Here is a 7,782-nt window from a genome sequence, read left to right on the forward strand (position 1 = left end):
ACTTTTTCTCCGTTAGGCCCAAAAGTCAGATGTCCTGGCTTAAGCTGCTGAAGCCACCTTGGACCATGAGTGATCTTGAGAATGGAAGCCACTGTCTAGATGTTGGAACAAAGACAATGGCCTGGGCCTCCCTGATGACACCGCAGAGTCACCGTATGTGTCCTGGAGTACTTGCTCTCTGCTTCTTTTTCATGAGAGATAAGTACATTTTTATCTTCTTTAGGCCACTGCTATATTTTTCCCGTTAAACACAGCTATATCCAATCCTAACTGGTTCAACCTATAAAATGTGATTATTTCTTGTTTTAAGATAACTATAGCTACCAATTATTTTGCACTTAGTAGCTGCCAGACACTGTACTAAGTGTTTTATGGGTGTCACCTTATCTAATTTGCACAACAAGAATACTTACAAGGTAGGTATTATTATCTATAATTTACAAATGAGAAAATGGAGGCTTAGAAAGCTTACATAGTATCTACAGGGTCATATTGAAAAAAGCAGAGTTCTAAACCAGGTTGGGATGACCCCAAAACTTGTTCTAATCTTAATCACTGTTATCAGTGTAATGCAGTTATTATCCTCTGTGGGTAAAAGATGCTATTCCTGATTCACTCACGGCAATACGAAATATACAAGGAGCACAGTGTTGGCTAATATTTCTAGAGACTCTTACGGAATTGTCAAGATGTAGACAACTTTATGTCCAATCTGCTCCCTGAACAAGATTGACAACAAAGACCCGGCTTGCCTTCTGTATCACAGATGACAACTATCCCCAAACCTTACCTAGGTTGTCAAACATTCACCTTTATAAGAGATTTGCAAACAGAAATAACACTGACTGCAAAACTGATGGCGGGGATTAAATAAGAGGATATATGTAAAATGCATAGAAGAAAATCAGGTACACAGTAAATGCTTGATGAATGGTACCTGACGGCACCATTATTTAAGGGATCCACAGTGAGACTGTGAAAATTTTCAGGAGTCAGAAATATTAGGTTCAACCACAACCTCTGCAACTTGCTAGTTATGTGAACATTGTTCAGTCATTTAACTTTTTGGCTTCTAATTTTCTGAGGAATACATTATTTATATAACAGAACTGTAATTGGGGATAAAGCCTTTCCAGTCCCCATCCCAGTGCCTGACGCATTTTAGAATCCCAGCCAATGAAATTCTTCTCACTATTATTCTCACAGAATTCTAATGAACATACTACCAACAGTGATTTTCTCCTTGGCCCATTAACCACACGGAAGGGAGTATTCGCTGTGGAGTGCCTCTGTAGCTGAGGGCCCCTGGCGCGTGGTTTCATCAGAGGCAGACAGCTGCGTGAGTCACTGTGGTGGGCAGTGTGCTGGGCCACCCTGCGGGTCCTGCCAGAGTGCTGTGGAATTCAAGTTTGTCTTCTCCAGTTTTAGTCTCTGCACGTGCGTTGGTCTCCTTTCTGCCCCTACAGTGTGGCCAAGGCCATTCCAGCCTCAGGAGGGCAAGAGGAGGCCTGTTGGATGCATCCTGAAAACACAGGCCATCACTGTGGGTGAGATCTACCAGGACAGATGCCATTCTGCAAAGTGGGTACTTTCCATGAGAATCCATCCATGTTTTTCTCTTATTCCTTCTCTTGGCAGATTTTCACTCTTTTCACAACCTTGTTTCATAGACATCAAACAATAACACAGCACAGAAGGAAAACAAGGGTCTTCTTATACAAATACCATGTATTTAATTCTGGCACTCATGATTTATTTATATCAGAAAGTCATCTTAAATTTTTAGGAGCTCACAACATTCAAAACCTCACACAAATTTCTAAACTAGTAGAGATGTCTCTGCATCTCCCACTACTTTCTTCTGCATGTCAAGTTTCACTTTAGGTTAGAATAGTCATATATACCCGTTGATGGGTGCAGCAAACCACCATGGCACATGTATAGCTACGTAACAAACCTGCACATTCCGCACATGTATCCCAGAACTTAAAGTAAAATAAAAATAAAAAAATCACAACATTGGAAAGCCAAAAAAAATAGCCATATATAAACTTTTTCATCTTAAAATCCATTTTACTCCTAACTGTCAAGGAAAAACAGATGGTTCTAAACTCCTCCTTCTAGGCTCCTAGTGGTAAAGCAATTTGCAGGACAACCATGGAAGAAAGGTGCCCGCCTTCTCTAAGCTGACATGGCCCCGCTCCCTCCCTCAGTCTGTAGCCTCAGGAGGGGACTGCTTTGCCTGTGAGTGGGAGGGAGCTACCGTGTGAGTAGTTCCCAACAGACCATCTGAAGTCATTTTCCCAGGTGGCAGGAGAAACACAGAGCCAGACGTTACACTGCTTTTCAAAGAGGTAAGCTCTTTTTTTTTAACTGCTATTTAAAACTCCAAACAAAAATGAAGCTGTGGATGCATGCAAGAATGAAGCCTAAGCAAAAATAACTCTTCAAAAAGGAAGCAGGTTTTTTGGAGAGGGTGTGTGTGTGAGGGCGGGGCGGGGGCGAGTCCTTCAATGTGGTTTTGAAATTAAGGTCCATGTTCTGTGATAATAAGCTATGTATCAATGAGAAAGGCTGAGATTATGACAAGAGGAAAAGGAGTAAAGGATTTGGCGGTTTAATCACGTTTCTATTCTTTTTTATATCTGCATCTTCTTTGAATGCAAGTATCAAGTTCTGTTTGGCTTTTGTGGAAAGCCATTTCCGAAGACCTGCCTTACTTGACTGTTTCTCCCTCTCTGGCTCTCCTGTTACCAACGTCCTAGAGTTGCCTCTGCTGCCCCAGCGAGGATGGCGACACAAACAGCGGTGGTGTCAGCGGACAGCGGTGGTGTCAGCGGTGACCGAGGCAGGGCCGAGACTCCAGGGCCCTTCGGGTTCAAGCTGTGCCCCCTCGCGCAGTTCAGCACCTGCCAGCACTTCCAAGTGTGTGATTGTCACGCTTGCCTGATTACTCCTTCCTTTGGGCTCCCATAGCAATTTGTACATTACTGTGGAATTGATCAAATTGCTTTATAACTAGCTGTTTATGTGTCTTTAATCTGTGTCATTTTGGATGGCAGGAAATGCTCTTTCGGTAATTTTTTTGTCCACACTGACTGGAATACTGGTTGGCACATAGTAGGTATTCAACAGTTTTTTATCGAGGGAATGAAAGCTCTCTAAACCACAGCAATCATTTGTAGACAAAGACTCTTAGGGTGTAATGTGATTTAACATCTGATTTTTGGAAAATAGTTACTGAGATCATTCCGACAATAATAGAGTGCAATACCCTACCTTGAATAAAGGATATTTTACTCCTTTAGTGTGACATATAGGTGTTTGTTAAGCCCAGAGATTAACTTCCTTTACGACATGGCTGAGCTGGCCCAGCGGTCCATGTCAGGATGTGGTGCCCTGGTTTACTCCAGGTTCATAGCAAATCATTTTTCCTCTATGAAACCTCTTTCAGATGATCTTTGGAGCCTGTATCATATGTGCAGGGTCAAAAAACGGGCTGGATACAGTGTTCCACTTCCAGGGAGCATCTCTAGTTTGAGCCCAGACCACCAACCCCCAGCAAGGCCCTAATCCATACAGTTAAATCCTTGGTAGTGACTTTGTCAGTTTCCACCTCTGGATCTTTAAGGAAGCAGCACTTCCTGAATGTGGCATTGCTTTGTGGAGACAGTGACTGAGTAAGTTAGGGGTGATCCTTGCTACTGCTGGTGAGCCAGGCACCCAGAGAGAGTCTACCACTTGCTGCGTGAGCCTGGCCTGTGCTTTGTCCACCAAGCTGGTCTAAGCGGACTCACAGAAGGCAGAGGTATTGTGGAAGCTCTGATGACTGCCCCATCTCTCCTTTAGGACAGAAGCACTTACTCCACCAGCTTCTTGGAATGTTGGCAGCTGAAGGGGTGGCAAGCCTTTGCTGTAGCTACACCACAATTCAACTCCTTTGTCTACCCAATCCCACTTCCTTCAGTTCTCCATGGGTATTGATCTGGAGAGAAACTCTCAAACTTTCTTCTTGCAAATTTAACCTCAGCTCCGTTTCTTGGAGAACCTCACCTAAGACAGGTGGCAACTCTAACCCTCCTGCATACCTAAACTTACTGATAGATTTAGGGAATAAGAGAGGGAGACAGAGAATGAAGCTGATATCATCTAGACTCATGACAACTAGTTCTGCAGACTCATGTTCATCTGGGGCACTGACTCTCCCAGTTAGCAGGAGGACTCTAACACCAGCTTTTGCCTAAACCCTAGCCTCTTATAAGCTACAATCATTTAGTCACGACCATAGGGAACTTCCCGGACTGAGGTCTATAAAGCATTCATAAAAATTCAGATCTTCAGGAATCATAGCAGGATAGTAAAAAGGCAAAACTTTTACCTTTAAGGAAACTCAGATTCAAATTCTTGCTCCTGCAATTATGAGATAATAACACCAGGTTGCTTATGTTGTCATCCCAATGTTCAGTGTCATCTGTGAATGATAACAAAAGCCACCTCAAATAACTCTTGTGAGGTTTAAGAGAAAATTATGCGAGACTTAAAATACAATCCGTGATATATAAGAACACACTGGATTTTTTAAATTGAGAGATTCTAAGGTGGGGTGCTGCGGCTCACGCCTGTAATTCCAGCACTTTGGGAGGCCAAGGCGGGTGGATCACCTGAGGTGAGGAGTTTAAGACCAGCCTGGCCAACATGGAGAAACCCCATCTCTACTAAAAACACACAAATTAGCCAGGCACAGTGGCGTGTGCCTGTAATCCCAGCTACACGGGAGGCTGAGGCAGGAGAATAGCTTGAATCTGGGAGACAGAGGTTGCAGTGAGCTGAGATCACACCACTGCACTCCAGCCTGGGTGACAGAGCCAGACTCTGTCTCAGAAAAAAAAAAAAGAGATTCGAACTCCTGGTTTAGTACTTAGCCCTTGTTTAAAGACTGTGCAACAGGCTTAATAACCCCCATTTCAAATTATTTAATTTTCAGAATTTTTTATGATAGAAAACCATTCTAGCTTACCAAACGTCTTCTGTAATAGCTTCTGCTCCTTTCTGCTTCATGGCTATCCATGCTTTCTATGATGTTCTACTAACTCACTGAATATTTTTTTAAATTTAGAGTTATGAAGACTTATTCCAATCCTTAGTGAATTAACCAAACTCTGAAGAGAATATTTTCATCTCTGTTCAGTGGGTTCTGTCTGATCCAGGAAAAAAAAAAAAAAGTTTTCTGATGGAACTCATCAAGAGCAGCCTTTATCCCTGCCTTCCCTGGCTCCGAATGTTGTGTTGCTTTTAAAGCAGTCAAACACATGAAAACCAGACTTTTCTTAGAGCTCTAGAACTTCCTTCGTGGTACTCAAGGCTTCCTGGGAATTCCTTCGTCGTTCTCAAGGCTGTCCTGGAGCTTCCTTCATGGTACCCAGGGCTTCCTGGAGCTTCCTTCGTGGTACCCAGGGCCGTCCCGGGGCTTCCTTCATGGTTCTCAGGGCCGTCCCGGGGCTTCCTTCGTGGGGAGCTTCCTTCGTGGTACCCAGGGCCGTCCCGGGGCTTCCTTCGTGGTTCTCAGGGCCGTCCCGGGGCTTCCTTCGTGGTTCTCAGGGCCGTACTGGGGCTTCCTTCATGGGGAGCTTCCTTCGTGGTACCCAGGGCCGTCCCGAGGCTTCCTTCGTGGTACCCAGGGCCGTCCCGGGACTTCTTCGTGGTACTCAAGACTGTCCTGGGCACACGGTTTCTGTGCTCGGACACCCAATGCCTGAACTCAGCATCTGACACAGTTCCTGGGTTTCCAAGTGAGCAAACGCTTTCTCTTTGCTCTTGGGCATGAGGTCACAGCCTTCTCCTTTCCCGTCAGGACCGCATTCCCAGGTTTTCTCCATTTCTCTTTAAAGGAAAGTCGTCCGCGTTGCTTCCTGACCTGGAGTGTTTAGCCGCGGAAGACACTGGCCTCCTCTGGAGTCGCTGTGCAGAGCTGCGTCTTCTTCCCCCTGCACAGCGACAGCGCAGACTTGCTTCCCCCCATTCCCAACAGGCACCTTTTCTCTTTCAAAGGTCCCACATATACGACTTACAAGGCAGTAAAAGGGTAATATGTGTGCCAGTACCTTTCAGGTGAAGTGGCAAATAGGAGGGCGATAAGGGTTAAATACTTACCTGCGGCGGAACGCTGCAGTTTTTATTCGTTTACATAAACGAATACAATGTATATATTAGCTCCTGCATACGCGGGGAAAAGTGAGGGAAGAGGAGCGGGAGAGGTGGCGGCTGTGGGAGCGGAGCGAGCAGGTTCCCGGGAGGCTGCAGCACAGAGGCCCCACGCAGGCGGGCTCCCCGCGCTCGGCTCCCGCCTCCTCCCGGCCGTTCTCTGTTCTTGCACTTGGCCGCGCACGGACGCGCATCTCTCCTCGCTGCCGGTGGCCATGCAGAAAGCTGGCTTAGTCTCCATCCTAGGTCCGCATCTCAGTTTTTTTGTTTGTTTTTGTCTTTTTTTTTTTTTTGTCACAAACCGAAGTGGGGAAAACATTTGTTGGAGTTCGTTTTTTTTCACAAGGTCAGTGTGTGCCCATTACCCACTGGGAGGAGGACAATTTGAGCACACGATCACATTGAATGAGAAGACGAAAGACGTGGCCGGGCGCGATGGGTCACGCCTGTAATCCCAGCACTATGGGAGTCTGAGGCAGGAGGATCACGAGGTCAAGAGAAGGAGACCATCCTGGCCAACATGATGAAACCCTGTCTCTACTAAAAGCACAAAAATTATCTGGGTATGGTGGTGCGAGCCTGTAGTCCCAGCTGCTTGGGAGGCTGAGGTGGGAGAATCACTTGAACCTGGAGGGCGGAGGTTGCAGTGAGCCGAGATAGCTCCACTGCACTCCAGCCTGGGCTACAGAGCCGGACTCCATTTCTAAAAAAAAAAAAAAAAAAAAAAAAAAAACAGAAAAGAAAAAGAAAACGAAAACGAAAGACATAATGTCGTAATGATGATGGACAATTCCAGTAATTAAAATTATTTTAGAAAAGCATTGATTTCTTTTAAATTAAAATATGCCCAGAAGCTTATATTTTATATGTATATTCAAATAACTTTTTGGTTATTCAGTCTTCTTTGTTTTAAAACACTTGTGAGCTGACTTTTCTATTTATACAGGAGGATGTTCTATATCTCAGAACAATAATTGCGAATGCCATATAAATACTTTAAATTTACAAGAGTATCTCTCACTAGCTAACCTACAATTCCTTTAGTGCAATAGCTGGGGAAAAGAGTAGGATTCTAGGGAAAACAGTTCTTGGTTTTAACTTCATTATGTTCTGCAGCTTTATTATCATTGAAATTCTCCAAATTAAAATGCAAAAGCTCAGCTTCTTGGCTGGGCTGCTTACTTAACCTTAATAAAATATAAGGGTCTGTTTCATTAATCAGAAATGCACCAGACACAGTGCATAAATTTTATCTTCCACTTTGTCCTTTGTATTTCAGAATGATAATAATAATAATAAAATCTTGGGTTTGGCAGGACAATCATGTTCTCTTTGTTTCTATCATGTTTCTATGTAAAATAGATTTCTCAGACAGACTAAATGCCTTAAGGGGTAAAAATTCCTATGATCCTGTTCTCTGGAAATCTTTAAAAATAGAATAAACTTTCCTTTGTCTGGGTGTGGTTTAAGCACAGGCCATGTTTGGCAGAAGGATTGTTTAACTGACCTGCTGATGTTGCTTTAAGCTGCATGATCACTTGGATGAATTTTCCCTTAATCCTTGCCAGATTTAATTTATCA

At 44.1% G+C, this 7,782-nt stretch overlaps 1 long non-coding RNA gene across 8 annotated transcripts in view, besides 3 other annotated features; it reads left to right on the plus strand.

Moving 5' to 3' along the window:
* Positions 1–3,307, plus strand: part of LOC102723906 (uncharacterized) — a 220,555-nt gene extending 217,248 nt beyond the window's left edge. For 3 of the 8 annotated variants that reach the window (XR_007058501.1, XR_007058504.1, XR_007058503.1), the window contains one exon: positions 17–3,307. This is a non-coding gene — a long non-coding RNA (uncharacterized LOC102723906). The remainder of the gene's footprint in view (positions 1–16) is intronic. The other 5 variants (XR_939594.3, XR_939593.3, XR_007058502.1 and 2 more) reach the window with 5 other exon arrangements.
* Positions 2,320–2,827: an enhancer, noted in NCBI's record as "H3K4me1 hESC enhancer chr4:187981383-187981890 (GRCh37/hg19 assembly coordinates)". NCBI's record gives its function as "activates a minimal SCP1, AML or CMV promoter by ChIP-STARR-seq in primed H9 embryonic stem cells {active_cell/tissue: H9 hESC(primed)}" and the evidence as "EXISTENCE:reporter gene assay evidence [ECO:0000049][PMID:30033119]".
* Positions 2,828–3,335: an enhancer, noted in NCBI's record as "H3K4me1 hESC enhancer chr4:187981891-187982398 (GRCh37/hg19 assembly coordinates)". NCBI's record gives its function as "activates a minimal SCP1, AML or CMV promoter by ChIP-STARR-seq in primed H9 embryonic stem cells {active_cell/tissue: H9 hESC(primed)}" and the evidence as "EXISTENCE:reporter gene assay evidence [ECO:0000049][PMID:30033119]".
* Positions 5,817–6,317: an enhancer, noted in NCBI's record as "H3K4me1 hESC enhancer chr4:187984880-187985380 (GRCh37/hg19 assembly coordinates)". NCBI's record gives its function as "activates a minimal SCP1, AML or CMV promoter by ChIP-STARR-seq in primed H9 embryonic stem cells {active_cell/tissue: H9 hESC(primed)}" and the evidence as "EXISTENCE:reporter gene assay evidence [ECO:0000049][PMID:30033119]".

The sequence above is a fragment of the Homo sapiens genome, chromosome 4 (assembly GCF_000001405.40).
Source record: "Homo sapiens chromosome 4, GRCh38.p14 Primary Assembly".
Lineage (NCBI taxonomy): Eukaryota > Metazoa > Chordata > Mammalia > Primates > Hominidae > Homo > Homo sapiens.